Source organism: Homo sapiens, chromosome 9 (genome assembly GCF_000001405.40).
Source record: "Homo sapiens chromosome 9, GRCh38.p14 Primary Assembly".
Classification (NCBI taxonomy): Eukaryota; Metazoa; Chordata; class Mammalia; order Primates; family Hominidae; genus Homo; species Homo sapiens.
The window spans coordinates 92,176,007-92,199,146 of record NC_000009.12 but is presented as its reverse complement, the minus strand read 5'-3'; the positions used below and the strand labels follow the sequence as shown (position 1 = coordinate 92,199,146).

At 49.5% G+C, this 23,140-nt stretch overlaps 1 pseudogene, besides 2 other annotated features; it reads left to right on the top strand.

Annotated features, from left to right (window-relative positions):
* On the top strand, positions 7,991 to 21,984 carry PRSS47P (serine protease 47, pseudogene; annotated as a pseudogene).
* Positions 9,683 to 10,426: an enhancer, noted in NCBI's record as "H3K27ac-H3K4me1 hESC enhancer chr9:94951003-94951746 (GRCh37/hg19 assembly coordinates)". NCBI's record gives its function as "activates a minimal SCP1, AML or CMV promoter by ChIP-STARR-seq in primed H9 embryonic stem cells {active_cell/tissue: H9 hESC(primed)}" and the evidence as "EXISTENCE:reporter gene assay evidence [ECO:0000049][PMID:30033119]".
* Positions 11,472 to 11,671: an enhancer, noted in NCBI's record as "active region_28592". NCBI's record gives its function as "activates an Ori minimal core promoter by ATAC-STARR-seq in GM12878 lymphoblastoid cells {active_cell/tissue: GM12878}" and the evidence as "EXISTENCE:reporter gene assay evidence [ECO:0000049][PMID:35858748]".

The window sequence follows — 23,140 nt, the reverse complement described above, 5'->3', positions numbered from 1 at the left end:
TAGTAGAGACAGAGTTTTGCCATGTTGGCCAGGCTCACCTCAAACTCCTGACCTCAAGTGACCCGCCCACCTCAGCCTCCTATGTTGTCATTATTATTATCATTATTATTATTATTATTTTCTTTTTTGAGATGGAGTCTTGCTGTCGCCCAGGCTGGAGGGCAGTGGCACGATCTCAGCTCACTCTAGGCTCCGCCTCCTGGGTTCACACCATTCTCCTGCCTCAGCCTCCCAAGTAGCTGGGACTACAGGTGCCCACCACCACGCCTGGCTAATTTTTTGTATTTTTAGTAGATATGGTTTTCACCGTATTAGCCAGGATGGTCTCGATCTCCTGACCTTGTGATCCGCCCACCTCAGCCCCCCAAAGTGCTGGGATTACAGGTGTGAGCCACCACACCTGGCCGTCATTATTATTTTTGATAGATTTGTCTTTTAGTCCTACTAACGATATGAGTGGTTTAAATAATGCAATTACAGTATTAGGCTATTCTGTATTTGTCTGTGTACTTAAGTTTACCAGTGTGTTTTATATCTTCAGTTGCTTTCTTGTTACTCATTAATGTCCTTTTCTTTCATATTGAAGAACTTCTTGTAAAACAGGTCTGGTATTGACAAAATCCCTTAGCTTTTGTTGTCTGAGAAAGTCTTTATTTCTTCTTATGTTGAAGGATAATTTTGCTGGGTATAATATTCTAGTCCAAAGTTTTTATTCCTTTAATACTTTGAATGTCATTCTATTTCCTCAGGCTGGTAAGGTTTCCACTGAGAAGTCTGCTGCCAAGTGTATTGGAGCTCCTTTTTATGTTATTTGCTTCTTTTCTCTTGCTGCTTTTAGGATCCTTTCTTTATCTTTGACCTTTGAGAGTTTGCTTATTGTATACTTTGAGGTAATTTTATTTGGCTTGAATATTCTAAGTGTTCTTGATCTTCATGTTCCTAGGTATTCATGTCTCTAAGTTTGGAAGGTTCTCTGTTATTATTTATTTGAATAAACTTTCTACCCCAGTCTCTCCATCTACCTCCTATTTAAGACCAATAGTTACTAGACTTGCCCTTTTGAGATTATTTTCTAGATCTTGTAATATTGCTTCCTTCTCTTTTACGTATTTTTGCTTTTTTCTCCTTGGACTGTGTGCTTTCATATAACCTGTCTTTGAATCTACTGATTCATTCTGCCACTTGATCAATTCTACTGTTGAGAGATTATGATTCATTTTTCAGATTGTCAATTGAGTTTCTAAGCCCCAGAATTTCTGCTAGATTCTCACTCTATTGCCCAGGCTGGCGTGCAATGGTGCAATCTCAGCTCACTTCAACCTCTGCCTCCCAGGTTCAGGTGATTCCCCTGTCTCAGCATTCTGAGTAGCTGGGACTACAGGCATGCACCACCACACCCAGCTAATTTTTTGTATTTTTAGTAGAGATAGGGTTTCTACTAAACCCCATGTTGGCCAGGCTGGTGTGGAACTCCTGACCTCAAGTAATCCACCCACCTTAGCCTCCCAAAGTGATGGGATTACAGGCGTGCACCACTGTGCCTGGCCTCTGCTTGATTTTTAAATGTTAATTCTTCATTAAATTAATCTGATAGAATTCTGAATTCCTACTCTGTGTTATCTTGAAGTTGTTGGGCTTCCTCAAGATGGGTATTTTGAATTCTCTGTCTGAGAGATCATATCTTTAATCACTCCAGAATTGGTCACTGGTGCCTTATTTAGTCCATTTGGTGAGATCATGTTTTCCTGGATGCTCTTGATTCTTGTGGATGTTCAATGATATCTGAGCATTCAAGAGTTAGGTATTTATTTCAGTCTTTGTAGTCTGGACTTGTTTGTATCCATCCTTTTTGAGAAGGCTTTCAGTAATTGAAATGGGATTGAGTGTTGTTACATAAGCCTGTGGTCATTGTTAGCTGTTTTAGCACTGTGAGTGCCCTAAGTCCAGGAATGCTGCAACTCTTGTAGACTCATAGACATGTGACCTTGGTGGCTTTGGGAAAGATAAGAGAGAATTTCCTGGGTTACCAGGCAAAATTCGTCACTCTCTTCCCTCTCTTTCCCCTAATCAGGAGTCTCTCACTACACTGAGCTACCTGGAGTTGAAGGAGGGGTGATGTAGGCACTCCCATGGCCACCATAGCTGGCTCCATGTTGAATGGCACTTGAAGCCCACAGCTTTCCAGAACAGCACAGTACTGAGGCTCATCCAAAGCCCATGGCCACTACAACCTGGCTGCCACTGATGTTTATTCAAGATGAAGGCTACTTTAGTCAGCTGGTGGTTAAGCCAGCTGGGACTCAGTTTCCTCCCGCTGGTATGAGGGATTCCTCTCTGACCTAGGGCTGGTCCAAATACTCCCTCCTTGGGCACCAGCAGAATTTTGCCCTGTGTTATGGGCCACTGTGACAGGGCAGCACTGATTTCCAATGCAAAGTCCTACACTCACTTCACTTTCCTTCCCCCAAGAACATAGATTCTCTCTTTGTATTGCACTGCCTGGGGTTAGGAAAAGGATGCTGTAGGCAATGTGAAACTGTCCTTCCTACCCTCTTCCAGGCCTCTGTCATTATTATGTTAAAACCAGGTACTGTAATTACTCATCTGATTTTTTCATTCTTATGAAGGTACTTTCTTGAGTGGATCATTGTTCATTTTGATGTTCCTGTAGGGGGACCATCACTGGAAGGTTCTATTTGGCCATCTTGCTCCACCTCCTCTCTTCTATTGATTTCATTAATGTCCTAAAAAATCAATTTTCTCTCTTTTTCTGTGTTATATATCATTGGCTTCTGCTTTTATGTTTATTGTCTCCCTACCCCCTTACTTTAGAGCTGACAGCTTTTTAGAAACTTTTAGTAGTTTAAAGGTCAGTGTTCCATTGCCCTCTGTCTTCCATTGTTTATGATAAGAAGTTTGTTTCATTCTTTTTTTTTTTTTTTTTTTTTTTTTCTGAGACGGAGTCTGTCTCTGTTGCCCAAGCTGTAGTGCAATGGTGCAATCTTGGCTCACTGCAACCTCAGCCTCCCGGATTCAAGCGATTCTCCTGCCTCAGCCTCCTGAGTAGCTGGGACTATAGGTCCCAGCCAATTTCTGTGTGTGTGTGTGTGTGTGTGTGTGTGTGTGCGCATGTGTGTATGTGTGTGTGTGTGTATGTGTGTATGTGTGTATGTGTTTTAGTAGAGATGGGGTTTCACCATGTTGGCCAGGCTCGTCTGAAACTCCTGACCTCAGGTGATCTGCCTGCCTTGGCCTCCCAAAGTGCTGGGATTACAGGCGTGAGCCACCATGCCCAGCCCTTATTCTTATTTTTTATTCCCTGTAAATTTTCCTTTTTTTTCCTAGTTCCTTTTGTCTCTTTATAGCTGGTTAAGTAATTTTTTTTTTTTTATTTTGCATTGTAGAGATGGGGTCTCACCACCTGCCCACGCTGGTCTTCAACTCCTGGCCTCAAGTGATCCTCCTGCCTTGGCCTTCCAAAGTGCTGAGACTATAGGCATAAGCCACAGATCCCAGCCTAAGTAATTTGATTATGATGTGCATGGTGTAGTTTTCTTTGCATTTCTTGCGATTTTTGGATATGTATGTTCATGGATTTCATTATTTGGGGATGTTTTGCCTTAATTTCTTCAAATATTTTTGTATGCCCCTGCCTCCTTTGGAGTTTTCAATTAAATTTATATTAAGCCCCTTTAAATTGTCCCATGCACATCACTGATTCTCTGTTTTCTACTCTTTTCTTCCCTCTGTGTCATTTCTCATTTTAGGTAATTTCTAATCCTGTGTCTTCAAGCTCACTAATCTTTTATTCTGCCATTTATTGCCCATAATAAATATTAATTTCAGGCCATGCATTTTTTATTTCTAAACATTCAACTTATTTCTGACTAAGGACTTGTATCCAGAATATATAAAGAACTTCTATCACTCAATAATAAAAAACAACCCAATTAAAAAAGGTAAATGTCTTTAATAGATACTTCAGAAAAGGAGATAGAGAAATAGGCCAAAAAAACCATGTGAAAACGTGCTCAACATCATTAGTCATCAGGAAAATGCAAATTAAAACCACAATCAAATACTACTATACTATCATTCAAATGGCTAAAATTTCAGAGACTGATACTACAGCGTGTTGGACAGAATTCAGAGCATACAAAAACTCTGCTGGTGGGAATGCAAAGGGATAAAATCTTTTTCCAAAACAGGTTGGCAAGTTCTTTTTTTTTTAAATAGAGACAGAGTCTCACTTTGTCACCCAGGCTAGAGTGCAGTAGTGCAATCATAGCTCACTATAACCTCAAACTCTTGGGCTCAAGTGATCGCCCTGCCTCAGCGTCCTAAGTAGCTAGGACTAGAGGTATGCACCATCATGCCCAGCTAATTAAAACTATTTATTTATTTATTTATTTTTTGTAGAGACAGGGTCTCACTATGTTGCCCAGGCTGGTTTCAAACTCCTGGCCTCAAGCAATCCTCTCAACTTGCCTTCCCAAAAGTACTGGGATTACTGGTGTGAGCCACCATGCCCAGCTGGCAATTTCTTATAAATCAAATATATATTTACCAAACAGCCTAGAAATTGCACTCCTAGGTTGTTACCGGGAAAAAAAATGAAAGCATATGTCCATATAAAAGCTTATGTAGGAATGCCCCTAGCAGCTTTATTTATAACAATAAAAAATTTAAAGCTATCCAAATGTCTGTGAAAAGGTTAATAAATTGAGTTATATCTTTACAATGTACTACTTCTCAGAGGGAAAAAAGAATAATTATTATTGCTCATCAACATGGATGAATCTCCAAAACATTATGCTGAGAGAAGCCAGATCCCTAAATATACCTGTGTTACTATTCAACTTGTATGAAAAAGACATCTAGGCCGGGCATGGTGGCTCATGACTGTAATCCCAGCACTTTGGGAGGCCGAGGCAGGTGGATTACGAGGTCAGGAGTTCAAGACCAGCTTGGCCAAGATGGTGAGACCCTGTCTCTACTAAAAATACAAAAATTAGCTGGGCACAGTGGCAGGCGCCTGTAATCTCAGCTACTTGGGAGGCCGAGGCAGGAGAATCGCTTGAACCCGGGTGGCAGAGGTTGCAGTGAGCTGAGATCGCACCACTGCACTCCAGCCAGGGCGACAGAGTGAGATTCCATCCCAAAAAAAAAAAAAAAAAAAGACATCTAAAGCAGATCAATGCTTGTCTGGGACCATATTTCTTTTTTTTTCTTTCCTTCCTTTCTTTTTCTTTTTTTTCCCAGTGGGTGGTGAGGTTGAAGTGGGCCATGATGGACTGGAGAAAGCACAGGGAACCTTCTCAAGTGGTAGAAATATGACATACCTGGATTGTAGTGATGGTTACATTGGCACATACTTATGTCAAATCTCATTAAACTCTAAAATATAATAAGTGGATTTCATAGTATATAAAGTATGCTTTAATAAAGTTGATTTAAAAATCTATTCTGCTGTCAGTCATGTTACACATAGGGGTTAGGGACTTCTAGCCAGAACATATAGGAGAGAGCCTTTCACCCTTATAGGTGGTATAGCTAGCCCTGTTCACTCTTTGGCTTTCAGGGAACACTGGGGAGTAGCTCCAGCCAGTTACTGTCAGTTGCCAGAGAGATACTAGAAGCCAGCCTCTGAAAGACCGAAAAAAAGCAAACAACAACAACAAAAAAACCCTTAGGTCTCTCACCTGAATGGGCAGTGGTGGTTAGATGCTTCCACACAGACACCTTTCAGTCTCACCAGCGTGTCACTCCGACCAGAGACCTGCAATTGCCTCTGTGCTTAGACTTTGTCCGCTAAGGGTCCTGAGTTGGGAAATGAAAAGAGAGAGGGGAGAGAGTTTCCCAATAGGAGAGAGAGTCCCCGTATGGGCCACCCAAGTGTCACCGGGGAGCAACGACTATCTGGGCTGGTGGCGTGGAGGTAAAAGAAACTACCAAGACAGCTGTAGGTAGAGAAAGGCAGATGTATTAAAGAAAGTAGGAAAATACATTGTGATAAGGCAATGGGCAGCCTGCAAGAGAGAAGCTAACTGCCAGGAAACAAATGCTTGCTGAGGATTTTATAGAATGGAACTTGGGAACTAACTTGCAAACTTGCACTCTTCTGTCAGCCAGGATGTTTGATAAATTGAGGCATTTGATGCTAAGCAGAAATTTGAGAGTTATGTATGTTGTTTGTTCAGGAGGTCTGTATGTCCTGGGCAATAAGGAAAAACAGACCTATAATTCTTCTGCTTTCTCTTTTTGTTTATATGTCCTGAACCGTGAAGAAAAGCATATTTACAGCTTATCTGCTTTATCTCTTTGCTTTGATTTGGTCCCACCAGCCTGACTCCTTTTCCCTAATTAAGACTCCACATTTGGGAGGCCAAGATAAGAGGATCGCTTGAGCCCAGGAGTTGGAGACCAGCCTGGGTAACATGGTAAAACCCATCTCTACAAAAATACGCACACACACAAAATTAGCTGGGCATGGTGGCATGCACTTGTAGAATCTCAGCTACTTGGGAGGCTGAGGCAGGAGGATTGCCTGAGCCTGGAAGGTTGAGGCTGCAGTGAGCGGTGATCACATTTCTGGACTCCAGCCTGGGCGACGAAATGAGACCCTGTCTCAAAAACAACAAAAGCCACAACAACCCACAAAAAACAGAGAGTGTGAGGAGAAGGGACTCCTAGGTACGCATATGCAAGCCCAGATCTACAGAGAGACAAGGAACTGGCCCAGTGTATTAGTCAGTTTTCACTCTGCTATAAAGTCGCCACACGAGACTGAGTAATTTATAAAGGAAAGAGGTTTAATTGACTCAGTTCTGCATGGCTGGGGAGGCCTTAGGAAACTTACTATCATGGCGGAAGGGGAAGCAGGCACATCTTACATGGCAACAGGCCTGGGGGACACCACTCCCACAATCCAATCACCTCTCACCAGGCCCTCCCTCAACACATGGGGACTATGGGGATTACAATTTGAGATGGAATTAAATTATCCAGTCTCAGCCAAACCATATCACCCAGTGAACAGTGAGCGGGGTGGGGACAGAGGGCCAGGGGGAAAGAGCCGCTGAGCTGCAGCCAGAGTGATGCAGCAGGAAATGGTGCTGAGGTGAGGCTGGGGGCCAGGCCAGAGCAGCTGGGTGTGCACTGTGCGTTTCACAGATGCCTGGAGGGAAAAGGCGGGGCCTGGGGGAATGTGGAGCAACAATGACTCTCATCCACTGCTGGGGGAATGCAAAATGATACAGCATCTGGAAGAAAGTTTGGCAGTTTCTTACAAAGCTAAGTATACGCCTACCATGGAACCCGAAAGCACTCATAGATATTTACCCAACTGATTTGAAAAGTATGTCCACATAAAACCTGCATGCAACATTCACTGCTTTGTTCCTAGTCATTAAAAACGGGAAGCAGCCAAAATGATCAACAGGGGAATGGACAAACTGTGGTATATCCATAAAACAGAATTCAATTTAGTGATAAAAGGAACAAGCTATTGATCATGCAGTAACATGAATGAATCTTCTTTTTGAGATGGAGTCTTGCTCTGTTGCCCATGCTGGAGTGCAATGGTGCGATCTCAGCTCACTGCAACCTCTTCCTCCCGGGTTCAGTTGATTCTCCTGCCTCAGCCTCCTGAGTAGCTGGGATGACAGGCATGTGCCACCAAGCCCAGCTAATTTTTGTATTTTTAGTCGAGACGGGGTTTCCCTGTGTTGGTCAGGCTGGTCTTGAACTCCTGACCTCAGGTGATACACCCACCTCGACCTCCCAAAGTGCTGGGATTACAGGCGTGAGCCACTGCACCCAGCCACATGGATGAATTTTAGATGCATTTTGCTAAGTGAAAGAAGCCAGACGCAAAAGGCACACGTGATATGATTCCATTCATAGAACATTTTGGACAATGCTGAACCATAGGGATGGAGAACAGATCCGTGGTTGCCAGGAGCTGATGGAGTGGGGAGAGGTTGGCTCCAAAGGGGATGCATGGGAGACCTTGCGGATGTAGGAACTGCTCCTTTTGTTGCTGGAGTGGTGGATGGGAGACTCTACACATTGGCTCAGATCCATGGAACTGCACAGCCCTGAGACTGAACTTTCGTGTGTGCAAACTAAAAAAATCAACCAGGATGGAAATAAAAACTCATCAAACGTATACATGGGATACTTACATTTCATTGTATGTAGATTTTACCCTAATAATGTAGAAACTGAGGTGCCCTGAAGATCTCACTACTTACTTGGCAGACAATCTTAAAAGGGCCTCAGTTGCATTGTCAGGGTTTGCTACAAAATTAAACAGCATTAGCACAAAACAAACACAACATTCTTTTGTCTCTTTTCTAGGCAGCAGGCTTTATTTTGTGTGCTTTGGGCTTATTCTGTCAGGAGAAGGGTGCCTAGTGTCAAATCCTGCAAGGCCTGAGATGGGGGCCTCTCAGGTGACCTTAGGCCTCCCAGGTGACCTCAGATCTCTCAGGTGAGGTCTATCCTCCCAGGTGACCTCTGCCCTGCCAGGTGAGGTTCTAGCGCAGTGACTTTGACTCTTGCAGGACATGGGCTACTGCCAGGGTGTGAGCCAGGTCGCTGTTGTCCTGCTGATGTTCCCCAAGGAGAAAGAGGCCTTCTTGGCACTAGCTCAGCTGCTGACCAGCAAAAACCTGCCAGACACTGTAGATGGACAGCTGCCTATGGGGCCTCACAGCCGGGCCAGGTGATGGCTACACTGGCCCAGTGACGGCAACCTACAGCCATAGCGCCTTCTGTCCCTGCCTCATTCGGTGGGCTAGGCAGCGCACCATAGGTCCTCCCAGACACCTGGCTCTGTAGTGGAAAGAAGGATTGACAGGCTCCCCGCAGCTTTCACCCTCTCCTTTGTTCTGGAACCTGCCGCTGCCTAAGGAATTCTTTGGCAAAAGACTGCTTCCTGGGTCTCAGGGGTCGGACATGGGGAGGGTCAGGGCGGGGTCAGGGGCTGTCTTGGGAGGGGGTTAGGGACGGGTTCAGCGCCTGTCTGGGGCTGGGGTCAGGGCGAGGTCAGGACCTGTTTCCCAGGAGTCAGGGCCAGGAGTCACCGCCTGTTTCGGGGGTCAGGGTCAGCTCCAGTTCCCCTTCCTTCTGTCCTCGTGTCAGGCGATGATGGGTGTGGGGTCAACGCGGACCAGAGCCCAGCCGGGGCCCCTGCTCTGGTCTCTGCTGCCGCTGCTGCTCCTGAGCCCAGAGGCCGCCCCTGCCCCACAGTCCCGCGCCGCCAGCCCCTCGCAGGCTCCGGGGGAGGCCAGAGAGAGCTTGGGGGCGCAGCAGGGCCGGGAGCCCGCAGCCAGAGCCCAAGGTCCGTTTGAAGCAGAGGGTGTGGGGCCGAGCCGGCCTCGGAGGCAGAGGGCAGGGGGCAGGGGGCATTTGAGGGGGCCACTGGGCCACGGGGGCAGGGGGTCGAGGGCTCGGCAAGACCAGATGAGGTAAGGAGTGTCCGGGAGAGGCAGGCGTCTGCGGAGAGATGGGGGAACTGCAGGCTAGAGGCGGTGGGGAGAAGGCCGGGGCTCTGGGCCTGGTGCCAGGGCCGGAAGTCACCCGAATCCGTTGTCTCTCTCTCCTTCCCTCCCAGCCAGGTGGCTCCAGAGACGACATCAAGCAAGGTGGGTCAGGCTTCCCGCTCTTGGTCCCAGGACTGGGTGTGGGGCCCACGAAACTGGACGGGGTGCCAGGGCCTGGTGCCTGGTGCCGGGGCTGGGTGGAGGGAGACAGCACCGGGACTGCTGCTGGGCCCCGGGAGTGGGGTGGGCCCTGGGGTCTCATGTCCCCTTGTTGAGGCCTGGAAGCGTAGGCCAGGGATCAGGACACTGCCCCTCAGGGGTCCAGGCCCGCAGCTCCCCCTCCCAGCTGTGAGTCTCAGAACCAAGGCTGTCCACATCAGCCCCACCCCCTCTCACCTTCTAAAAATAGAAGATCAAGAATCAGAGAGAGGGAGCAAGTTTCCCCAAGTCACACAGCACAACAGACTCCTGCCTGAGAATCTCTCTCCCTGGGATACTGGAGTGAGGTGCGGGGGTGGGCACAGCCACTTGGACACCCCCGAGACCTTCAGTTCTTTGATCTGCAAAGTAGGCATGCAGGTGTTCTGATGGAGGGAAGTAAAGTCCCAGGGCTGGATTCCAGTCCACCAGTCCTTGGCAGGTCCGGATGAGCTGCTGTGGCCACCCTGGGTCAGCCTTGCCCTGCCTGCCAGACCCCTGGTCCCTCATTCCCACAGAGCCTGCTCAATTGTACTCTGTCATCTGGTCCTGCTAGTGGCCATAGAAGGCAGATGCTGGAGTAGCCCTCAGTCATTTTGGCCAGGTCACCTATTCTTTGGCCTTGGTTTTCCCATCTGTGAAGAGAGCAGAGGCCTCACTGGGGTGGCATTCATGGGCACCACTAGTGTCTCTAACAGGTGGACCGGGGTGTCTCCACAGTGTGTGGGAAGCCTAAGGTGGTGGGGAAGATCTATGGTGGCCGGGACGCAGCAGCTGGCCAGTGGCCATGGCAGGCCAGCCTGCTCTACTGGGGCTCGCACCTCTGTGGAGCTGTCCTCATCGACTCCTGCTGGCTGGTATCAACTACCCACTGCTTTCTCAAGTGAGTCCTCCCTCCCTGGGCCCCAGCAGAGGGGCTGATGGGGAGGAAGATGCAAGGGACGAGGGTTAGGGGGCTGGGGGGGTTATGTCTTTCTCCTCTGGGCTTTGCTCTGGGGAAGTCTGCTGCCACCAAACTGATGCAGTGCCTGCCGTTGACCCGTAGTCCCCTCCACCAGGACTGTCCTCCCCACTCTCCACCCACTGTCCCTCCATCTGCCCAGAACCTCCTCATCCTTCATCCTCAGCTCTGGCAGGGAGTTCCCTGGCCCCTGTGTCTGTCTGCTCAACCCAGACATGCGTGAGAGCATTGGCAGTGTCTGTGCTGGCCACCTGCAGGGCTTCTCTTCAGTGTGCACCATGCTCCTGTGAGTCAGACTCCAGGCAGGGACTGGGGACTCTGCAGGTAGCCAGCAGCCAGGCGATGCTTTTTTTCTGTAAAACTGTATGCCTGGAAGGAGCTGTGCCAGGCTGCATGTATTGGTGGGAAGAGTGGGGCCCCCTGACCCTGGAGAATGACATGGACAGTCAGGGGTGCTACTCCTCTGGCCCTCCTGAGCCTGACTCAGTGCCCAGCTTCTGAACAGTCATGGAGGGACCCAGAGGGAGAGGAAGGCATCACAGTCCAGGTATGGAGTCAGCTTGGGCACCTAGTGGCTTTGAGACTCCAACTATTGGGCACCGTGAGCATCTCCTGGGTGTCACACCACCCAAGACCCTCTATGGCACAGAGTGTGGCAAGACCCCAAGTGAAGGTGTCTCTATGGGAAGGCGAGGCACAAGCTCCAACAAGCAGGATGCAGGAGAGAAAGCCCAGAGTGAGTGAGAAGAGCTGACCCGAGGCAGGGTCATCCAGAGAGATGCTGTAGTCTTGAGGGAGGATGAGGAGCTGCAGGGGATTGCCAGAGGGGAGGCTTTGGTATGGGGAGTGTGGCGAGGGGTTTCCTGGCAGCTGACCCATGTGAACAAAGTCACAAAGGTCAGAAGTTTCATTACTTGTGTTCAGGAACAAGAAGAGCATCAGTTTCATGCACTCATCTGGGCATTGAACAAATCCTTTATGAGTGCTTACAACAGTGGGGAAGACACCCTTGGGGAGAGCAGGAAAGGTGGTTAGGCCAGGAAGCAGGTCATAGGTAGCCTTCGGAAGGATCAGGCTGGAGCCAGAATTAAGCCAGAGCTCCTCTTGTGTAAAATAAAAGGGCTGGATTTGATGACTCTGTCAAGGACTTTCCTGGCACTAGGATTCTCTGCTCCTCTGATTCAAGGGTGTGCTGGGGAAGCCATATGTCCTGAGGTTGTGAGTAGAATAGCCATTAGCCTCAAAAAAAAAAAAAGAGCTCCTGACTGTCAGAAAGGGGGATACAAAGCTGCCTAGAATCATGTCAGGGGAGAAGGACCCAGAGGTGTGTGGGCAGTTACAAGTGGATGTAAAAAGAGAGTGCTGCCCCGCACTCTCAGAGAATGGTAAAAATGGGCCCTTCCTCCTCCAGCAAATCCCAGGCCCCGAAGAACTATCAGGTTCTGTTGGGAAACATCCAACTGTATCATCAAACCCAGCACACCCAGAAGATGTCTGTGCACCGGATCATCACCCATCCAGACTTTGAGAAGCTCCACCCCTTTGGGAGTGACATTGCCATGTTGCAGCTGCACCTGCCTATGAACTTCACTTCCTACATTGTCCCTGTCTGCCTCCCATCCCGGGACATGCAGCTGCCCAGTAACGTGTCCTGTTGGATAACCGGCTGGGGAATGCTCACCGAAGACCATAAGAGGGGTGTGGGAGAGGCGGGAGGATGAGGGAGGGGAAGGAGAGGGAGGCAGAGGGGAAGAAGGAAGGATGGCTTAGCCAGGCAAAGAGGAAGCCACTGGACTTGGCCCTCTGTGCCTCATTTCCATGACCGGTAAGGTGAGGACCACCACGCTGGGGCCTTTCTACTTCTGAAAGTTTGTGATCCCATAGCTTTAGAGTTCCCTGAGTCCCAGGCTCTGAAAGTCTGGGAATCTTTAACTTTTGAGAATCCAGAATCTGGGTTCTTTGAGTCTTCATGGTTCTTCTTTTTAATGTTTTATTTATTTATTCATTTATTTATTTACTTATTTATTTTTTGAGACGGAGTCTCACTCTGTCACCTAGGCTAGAGTACAGTGGCATGATCTCGGCTCACTGCAACCTCCGCCTCCCAGGTTCAAGCAATTCTCCTGCCTTAGCCTCTCAAGTAGCTGGCATTACAGGCATGCACCACCATGCCCGGCTAATTTTGTATCTTTAGTAGAGACAGGGTTTCTCCATGTAGGTCAGGCTGGTCTTGAACTCCTGACCTCAGGTGATCTGCCTGCCTTGGCTTCCCAAAGTGCTGGGATGACAGGCGTGAGCCACTATTTTAAGGTTTTAGTCAGCCATGGGACTAAGATGACTCGATTGAACTCCAAAGACATGCTTGGGGGCTGGCCCATTCTAGGTCACCACCAAACACTTGGATCGTCCCTTGCTTGGGAAGGTGCTTGGGAAGAGTGGAGAGAAAACACATGGTGGCTCTGCAGTCTGAGGCTGCATGATCCAGTTAGAATGATTGCGACGTAGAACTCTTGACCTTCTCTGAACCTCATGTTGCTCTTATCCTAACCTGGGTCATTCATCTACTTCACAGTCTTGTTACGTGACTGAATAACAGAGGAGAGAGTTGTGTGTGTTTTCATCGTTAGATGAGTAGGAAAGAAATGTAAGCAAAGATTTATACACAAGAGTGTTTATTGAAGAAAGGAGTGTTTACAGTTTAGGGAAATGCTTATGGTATGATGTTAAGGGAAAAAGGAAGAACATATATTTAATTATGTGTAGGGTTAGCATTTCTCAACAGAGGTGCTGTACGTATTTTTGATAGAATATGTCTTCACTGAGTGGGGCTCTGCTAGCATCCATGGCCTTTGACTGCCAGATGGAGGGGATTCTCCCTGATCATCTGCTGGCTGGTCCCCAGCATTCACACATACATCTGGTTATACCTTGAGGGTAGAGGCAACATATACTTGTTTTAATATCCCAAACGGTGCTCCTGGGCTGGTACCACCGTGCTGCATGACACTGATAGACCACCATTTCTTGCCTGTAGCTTCGGAACTGGTCACCCAGCTTCCATTCTTCTGTGCCCCCACTGTAGGCTCCATGTGGGTGTCGGAGTGTTACTTTAAATATTAGTCATGTCACTTCCCGGTTCAGTATTCTACAGTAACTTCTCATTTGTGCAAAATGAAATCCAGACACATGGCCAGGCGTGGTGGCTCATGCCTGCAATTCCAGCACCCTTCCCATCCCCCACCTCCCACCGCGCCCTTCCCATCCCCCACCTCCCACCACACCCTTCACATCCCCCATCTCCCACAGCACCCTTCACATCCCCCACCTCCCACCGCACCCTTCACATCCCCCACCTCCCACCGCACCCTTCACATCCCCCACCTCCCACCGCACCCTTCACATCCCCCACCTCCCACCACACCCTTCACATCCCCCACCTCCCACCGCACCCTTCACATCCCCCATCTCCTGCTCCAGTCATGACACATCCCACCTTCCAATGCACCCTTTCCATTCTTCATATTTCACTGCAGCCATTACATACCCCATCTTTTACTGCAGCCTTCACATACCCCACCCCATCCTCTTGGGCCTCCTGGGTACTCTTTGAACATCTCAAGGCTATTTCTATCTCGGGGCCTTTAGCTGCTGTTTTTTTTTTTTCTTAGCTTGCTTGTCATTCTCATCTTTGCAGGAGTCACTTCTTTACATTTACTATTCAGTTTTTTTTCTTGGTTTTACTTAATCATGTGAGCTAAAATAGGCAACCCCCTCTATCACATCTTCCTGTTTTATTTTCTTCATATCACTTAATCTAAAATATTTTTTAATTTATTATTTCATATAATCTGTCACTTTCTACTAAAAATTATCTATATCATTAGCATGTAAAAGACAGCACCAGGATAGCTGAATAGATGAGTGAATAGATCAGTGATTGTGTTAGTGAATGGATGGATGGATGGATGGATGGATGGATGGATGGATGGATGAATGGATAAATGGATGGATAATGGATGGCTAGAATGATGGGTGACTGCATGGATGGAAGGATAAGTGGAGGGATGAGTGGATGGATGGATGGATTGATGGATGATATTTGAGTTGGTAGATGGATGTTTGGATAGATGTGTAGATAGAAGGATTGGTGAGGGGTGGACAGATGGAGTGGGTGGATGTGTCAGTGGGTGGATGTGTCAGTAGGTGGAGAGGAGGATAGGTGGGTGAGAGATGGAGGGCTCGATGGAGAGATGGCTGCAAGGATGGATGGATGGGCAAATATCTGGAAAGTGAGTGGATGAATGGGTAGGTGTGGGAAGATAGGTAGATGGAGGAATGGGTGAGTGAGTGGATGGGATGATGGGTGGAGAAGAAAGGTTAGTGATAGATGGAGGGAGAATGGATGGGATGGTTCATGAAAGAGTAAGTTGGTCAGTGAATAGTTGCTAAGTTCCAATAAATGAGTCATGTGTTGGTGGGATTTGCCTCTTGTAGAATAAGAGAGGTGTGATCTATTGCTATGAGAGAGGTAGAGGGAATAGGATGACTATGTGCAAAGGTTTGAGAAAAAGAAGAGAAGCTTATCAAGGATGGGTAGTAGAGTGAAGCAGCAGTTAAAGCTCAGCAGTTCTGAGAAAACCTATGTTTGGGGGGTTGTGGTTAGCAGTCAGACAGAGTAGGGGCTCAGAGTAGCCTGAACTTTCTTAGTTAACCTACAGGACATGTCATTGATCTCCCCCTTATCTATTCAGTGCAACTGTCACCACCCTTCTATCTCCAGGAGGGCAAGGTGGGCCTCATTGAGAACACACTCTGTAATACCTTATATGGGCAAAGAACTGGCAAAGGCGAGACCTAAGCTTTGCACGAGGAGATGCTGTGTGGGGGGGGACTTCTCGACAGGAAAGTCCATCTGCAAAGTGAGTACGGTCATTTCCTCTCTTCCTTTGCATATTCTCTTGGCCTCAGTTTCCCTTGGGACGGGTCTCTGTGTTGCCTCTGCTTTCTTTGTGGTGTCCCTTGGAATTCCTGTTTCCTCTCCTCTGAGTGTCCTCCCTGGGCTCCATCCCTCAGAAGTCTCCCCTAGACTAGCCCCTTCCCCAGCGCATCTCAGCAGGAACATCTGCTGGAAGGATCTTCAAACAGCATTTTTTAATATATTTTAAACTTTTTATTAAAGCATAATATATATACACAAGAGTACATAATTAATAAGTATATAGTTTGGTGAACTTTCCCACACTGATACAACATGTTACCAGCACCCGAGAAGCACCCATGTGCCTCCTTCTTATCACTAACGCCCAAGGGTAACAAACACCTTCACTTTTAACACCGTAGATTCTGAAATTCCTGTAAGTGGAATTTACAGTCAGCACTCTCTTGTGTCCTAACAGTGTATTTCTGAGATTTGTCCATACTATTACACGTTGTTATGGTGTGTTCTTCTCACTGCTCGACAGCGCGCTATTGTGTGAGTTGAATTCTACATTGGATAAGTATTTGAGTAGGTTCCAAGTTGGAGGTATTATAAGTAGCTGTGCTATGTACATGTTTGTATTTGTCTTTGGGACACAGATGAATATATTTTATTGCATAGAATCCTATGAGTAGAATTGCTAGATAAAAAGATGTGTCTGTGTGTTCAGCTTTGGCAGAGGATAGCAAACCGCCTTCCCTCTAGCAGAGGATGAGAGCTTCTTTTCTCACCAACTTTTATTCCTTTCCATCTTTTCTGATTTTGGCCATTTTGGTGAGTGTGTAGTTTTTGGCTTAAAATTTTTTGTATGTTTATTATTATTGGATATCTTTATGAAGTTTCCCTTCAAGTTCTTTTTCTCCTCTCATTTTTCTGTTGGGTTGTCTGTCTTTTTCTTCTAGGAGCTCTTTATGTATTCCGGACATAAGTTCACAGTAAGATACATGGTGTGAAAATCCTTTTCAACCTTCTGTAATGTTCCATCTTATAGGTGGGGAAATTGAGGCCCAGAGAGGAAAAGTGGCTAGCCTAAGTGAGGCAGTACAACCTGGGCCCAGGTGTTGCGACTCCAAGGCCAACCCTGCCTCCACAACCTCTCCCACAGGTGGTAGCCTCTTAAGCTGACATCTGTGGGCCGAGCTTTTGCATAGACACCACTGTAGGGCAGAGAGGAAAGTGCTGGGACCCTGGAATGAGAGACATTGCTCCACCACATGTGCCTGCCCTGTGACCTGGGATGTTCTCTTCACCTCCTGAGCCTGGGTCCTCATCAGCTGCGTGAGGATTCCAAGGCCTCCTCCATGAGGTGGTTGGAAGGATGGCGTCCACTTGGAACCTCAGAGTGTGACCTTATTCGGAAGTAGGATCTTTACAGATGTAATTAGTTAAGAATCTCAAGATGAACCCATCCTAGATTTAGGGTGGGCCCTAAATTCAATGACTGGTGTCCTTAAAAGAGGGGGAGAGGCCATAGAGACACACATGGAGAAGATGGCCATGTGCAGAAAGACATGGAGAGGAGAGGGATGCCGCCACAAGCCAAGGAATGCCTGTGCCGCCAGAAGCTGGAACAGCCAAGGGAGGGTCTTCCCCTAGAGCCTTTGGAGGTAGTGTGTCCCTGGAAGCACACTGATTTCAGTTTTGTGGCCTCTAGAACTGTGAGAGAATACATTTCTGTTGCTTCTAAGCCACCAAGGTGGTGGCAGTGTGTTATGGCAAGCCCTTGGAAATGGATATGTTTGGCAAAGACCACAATGCTAGCAAAATGATAGATTGAAAACTAGAACCAGGTCTTTCCTTCCCCCTAGTCTGAGCCCTGAGTCCCCCTGGCCCGTGGGAAGGGCTCATTGGCAGCACTGTTTTCAATATTGCCCGGCAAGCTAACTGAGTAGTGGGAGGGAGCTCAGCCCACCTGCCTGCCCAGCGGGAGCCAGCCCCAGGCTTCTTGGTTTCCTGTCCACGTCCACATACTTCATTGTTCCTCCTTTCTGGCTGTGGCCTGGCCCCTTCTCCTCACAGAGTCATCTGTACCCCAGGGGGAGCAGGGAGCCTGCCCAATGCCCAGCCCTGGTGGGGCTCAGCCAACAAGTCCTTAGTCCAGCTCCCTTCCAGCCTTGTTCCCCACCAGCCTCTCTTGCAAAGGTCATGCCCCTGGAGCCTCAGGGCCAGCACACTTTGCCTACCTGCTGGACATTCCACAGTGCCCTCAGCCCTGCCCCTCCTCTAGTTCCTTGCCCAGGCCAAGGACACCACTGAGGTGGACATCTCCTGAGCCTTTCAGCCACCACTGCCTGTCTGTGAGATTCCATCTGGATTCATCTCCTGCTGAGCCATCTGCTGTGGTCCCCGCCTCCACCCTGTGGCTCTCTTCTCTTCCCTGCATGGAGCACGCAAAAACAGCTTTGAGGAGAGAGAGAGCTGCAGGGTGACTCAGCGCTCAGACTGCGAGCAGGACACAGCTGGTTGCAGTCTTCACTCTGTCACTTGCATGTGCTGTGACCTTAGCTAAGTTTTCTCACCCGTGCAGTGGGCTTGCTAACAGCCTCCACTTCATAAGGTTCCTGTAGAAATGTAGCACCATGCCTGGCATTTAGCAGGTGCTTAATAAGTGTTGGCTTCCATGTTCCTGGCCTTGTCTGTTTTCCTCTATCTGAGTTGTACTCATTCTTCTGGGCCTATCTCGGACCTGCCCTTTCACCCAATGTGGAATTCACCACCAGGCCCACCAGTTACACGTGGCTTCCTCTGTCTCCACAGTAGTGCAAACCACAGCCTAGTTTGCATGGGGTACATTAATGTTGGGACTTCCTCTGCGTACTCGGAGCTCCCAAGGGTCAGGGCCAGGAGACCCTTGGAGTCCTTCCCGTCTCTCCCAGACTGGCCCAGAATCAAGCGTGATGTTGGCAAGCAGGTGGTTCATCTGCATGGATCACTGAGGCCTGGAGTAGTCAGGGACCATTGCCCGGAGGACCAGGCCTCCTCTTGCCCTCAAACAAGCTGGGTGGGCACTCCGAGTAGGGAAGCACTGAGGGGTGGATCTGAGACAGCGAAGGCACTTTCCACTCCCAAGAAGACCCCGGGCATGAATTTGCCAGGGCTGCAGGAGCAAATCCCCACAAACTGGGCGGCTGAGACCACAGATGTCTATTATCTTGCAGTTCTAGAGGGCAAAAGTCTAAAATCAAGGTGTCATCAGAGCTGGGTTTTTTTCTGGAGGCTCTAGAGGAGATTCAATTTCCTTTTCCAACTTCTAGAGGCCGCCCACACTCCTGGGCTCATGGTCTCTTTCTCCATCTTCAAAGCTATCAGTGTGACCTCTGTGTCTGTTGTCATATCTCCTCCTCTGACTCTGACCCTTCTGCCTCCTGCCTTCCCTTATAAAAAACTTTGTGATGACACTGGGCCTTTTGAGATACTCCAGAATAATCTCCCATCTCAAGAGTCTCCACTCAACTCCAGTTGCAAAGTCCCCTACGCCATGTAAGATAACACATTCACAGGTTCCAGGGATGAGGATATGGATGTCTTTGGGAGTATTCTTTAGTGACCGCACCACGTCACCCCTTCTCTCTCCTCTGGCCTCCACTCCCCCAGCCCAGGCCCCTCCCTCTCAGTGTGCTCTCTTGCTTCTCATCAAACTGAGAAGATGAAGCAATGAGAAGCTCGCTCTTCTTGGCCCCACATCTGCCCACCCTGATCTGCCTAGTCTCTCCCCCTTGCCCCGATGGCTCACCCTGGGCCAACCCATCCTTGAGCACCGGGTCGCTAGGGCCTTTCCCCTACTCCTGTGTCCCCTGCCCTCCCTCTCATGCCTCCCACGTCAAGGCATGGCAACAATCTCCTCCAGCTACTGCCCCATTTCTCCACCTTTCTTCCCTGAAGACTCCTCCCAGGCCTGACTGCACTGAATCACCCAAACCAGCCTTGTCCCTCTCATGCCACCAAAGCCACTTTGTCCACAGCCTCTGCCTTGCCAGAGTCACTGCTCCCTTGACACATCAGCAGCATCTCACGCTCAGCTGCTGGTGCCAGTCGCCAGCCACTCCACTCCCACTTTTTGCTACCAGCTGCCTCTGAGGAGATAGCAGACTAGAGGCCCCCCAGAATCACCCTGAGGACAAAGAAAGAGGAGTTAGCTTTGGGCGATGATCATGTCTGAGACACCAGGTGGCAAGGTCGGATGCTCTGTGCCTCCTCTTTCTGAGTCAGGGTCCCACTGCAGACCCACCAGATAGAAATCTCCAGGTATCAAAGCTCCTGAGCTGACCCTCAGAGTGGACAATTATGGATCTGAATCTATCACACGTGGACCCACCCTCTGCCTTCCACACCCAGGACAACACACTGCTTGAAGCCTAGAAGGAACAGCTGTATGTACAGGGCCTGAGAGGGGCTGGGCCCTTCCGGCCTCTCAGTGCTGGAGACCCCAGAGCCGAGTTCTTAGCCTTCTTCCTTTTGTCTCCACTCCTTTTCCCTGGTTGGTAAGAAAAGGCCAGAGTCCACAAGTCCTTTGGCTCCTCCTTCAAAATACCATCCCAAATCTGACCATTTCTTCCCTCCTGTAGTTTCCTCCCTGGTCCCTCCTCTCTACCTGGTGCTCAGCAACTTCTTTCTCTACATGGCACCAGACTGATGGTTTAAACAGGTCACGTGTCCCCCACCCTCCAGCATACAGTTCTCCAAGTTGCCCCTCTGCAGCTCTGAGACCTCCCTCTGCCCCCTCACTCCCTCCCACAAGGTTTGCCCCATCCTCTCCTGGTTTGCGCCAACTGGGCCCTCTCTTCTGGACCTCGCAGAAGTAGGTTCTGTTTCCTATTTGAGTGTAAGGTCAGGAAAGCTTGTTGTGATCCATGGATACGAAATGTCCTCCCGCTTCCATAGGGTCAGTTGGCTTATTTATCTATGCACCATGGGGGACAGGGTTTGTCTTTTCCCCGTGTTTCCCAAGAGCAGTGCCTGCACTGGATGCCCCAGGTGCACCCTGGACTAGTGGGCGGAAGAGCCGGCTGTGGGCCCTGCCTCCCACCACCCTGAAGATGAGACCCTTTCTTTTTTCCCTCCCTTCCTTCCTTCCTTCCTTCTTTCCTTTTTTTTGAAGGAGTCTCGCTCTGTTGCCAGGCTGGAGTGTAGTGGCATGATCTTGGCTCACTGGAACCTCCGCCTCCTGGGTTCAAGCGATTCTCCTGCCTCGGCCTCCCGAGTAGCTGGGAGTACAGGTACACGCCACCATGCCCAGCTAATTTTTGTATTTTTAGTAGAGACAGGGCTTCACCATGTTGGCCAGGATGGTCTCAATCTCTTGACCTCGTGATCCGCCTGCCTCAGCCTCCCAAAGTGCTGTGATTACAGGTGTGAGTTACCGTGCCCAGCTGAGACCCTTTCTTTGGGTCTCACTTTTTGGCCCATGATATAGGGGGCTTTCAACTGCATGATCCCACCCTGACAGCATTTCAGGACTCCAGTAACTCCAAGCAACTTTCTGGAGACCCCTGCCTGCTTCCCTAGTGATGTGGGCTGTCTCCACAGGGCCTGGGCATGGGCACTTTCTAAAGATACTTTACCAAAAAGTTGAGAGAAAACCAAAGGCCTAAATGAACAAAAAAGGACGGGGCGCCCAGAGGGGATGTTCTGCTGCAGCTTAGGGTTCACAAGAGCTGCGCTCTGCACAGAGGTTTCAGCTGGCTGTGCTTTGCTAGCAGGCCCAGCGCCTCTCAGGCCCTGTACATACAGCTGTCCCCTCTAGGCTTCAAGCAGTGTGTTGTCCTGGGTGTAGAGGGCAGAGGGTGGGTTCACGTGTTGGTAGATTCAGATCTATGATTGTCCACTCTGAGGGTCAGCTCAGGAGCTTGATGCCTGGAGATTTCCATCTGGTGGGTCTGCAGCGGGACCCTGACTCAGAGAGCAGAGGCGCAGAACGTCCGACCTTGCCACCTGGTGTCTCAGACACACTCATCCCCCAAAGCTAACTCCTCTTTCTTTGTTCTCAGGGCGATTCTGGGGGGCCTCTAGTCTGCTACCTCCCCAGTGCCTGGGTCCTGGTGGGGCTGGCCAGCTGGGGCCTGGACTGCCGGCATCCTGCCTACCCCAGCATCTTCACCAGGGTCACCTACTTCATCAACTGGATTGACAAAATCATGAGGCTCACTCCTCTTTCTGACCCCGCGCTGGCTCCTCACACCTGCTCTCCACCCAAGCCTCTGAGGGCTGCTGGCCTGCCTGGGCCCTGCGCAGCCCTTGTGCTGCCACAGACCTGGCTCCTGCTGCCACTTACCCTCAGGGCCCCATGGCAGACCCTGTGATGACCGCAGAGCCCCTCGACCCCTTCTCTCTGCTCGGCCTAGGTGTCCATGCTTGACCCTCCCTCTCCCTAGCCCACTGTCCCTCTAAATGGTTCCTAATCCTGGCTTTTCTGCCTATCAACTGCCATTCCCCAAACCAAGCTTGGCAACACAAAACCAAACCCAACAAAAGAGTCATCTGCTCCTCCTCCACCCCGCACGGCCCTCCAAGGCCCCTCCTGCTCCTTAGTGCTTGCCCTTTCCATAGGATTCATTGTCTGACTCCCAGGGCAGGAACCTGGGACCTCACACAAAGAATCTCAACTGTGGGCTCCTAGGAGGAAAGCAGGGGTAGGGGGGACACTAGGGGTGCTGAGGGAGCTGAGGCCGCCAGCTGGGAGGGAGTGGGGTCAGTCTGCACTCAACGTTGCTCCTGCCACAGGAAGCACCCAGGCCTTCAGAGGAGCTGAAACTACACCTGGTGTCCACAGTGTCAGGGAGCAAGGGCTTCTCTGAAGTACAGGAACAGCGCTCCTGGGGCGTGGAGGAGGGAGGTTCGACTCCCAGTGGAGACGGAAAAAGGGAAGTGGCTGGTGCACAAAGTAATTGAGCAGGACTGGGGAACAGGATCCCAGCCATGAGAAGAGGGTTCCAGCCTGCAGCTAGAGTGCTTTCAAAACATGAGGGTCTGGGAAAGACTGACAGAAGCAGATGGAGGAGGGTCCTGATGCCAAGCCAAAAGCCGAGGTTTAGGTCAGCCATGCTCAGAGCTCTGCGCCTAGGGACAATTCCTGCCCCTCCTCACCTGTCCCCGTAGGCCCTGCTTTCCCCAAGTCTGCAGGCACTTGACCCACTGCCCATCTCCAAAGCCCCCAATCCTGCATAAACATGCTCCCTCCTGTCTAAGGCCCTTGGCCAACCCTGCCCCAAGAAGTCTGTACTCCTCCAGCTGGTAGAGCCTGGTATTACCTTATCTACTTAGCTGATGCAGGATTTAGTGCCCCAGCAATAAGCCTCAAAATAGTGTTCTGGGCCATCCTTCCTGCAAGCCTGCTGGACACAGCCCTGTGCAGCCAGCAGGACTCCTAGAGGCCTCTCAGCACAGCCTACCCCCAGCCTTCAGAGACCACGGGAAAACGGGAGAGCTCCCATTTAGCACATGTCTGTATGGACAAGG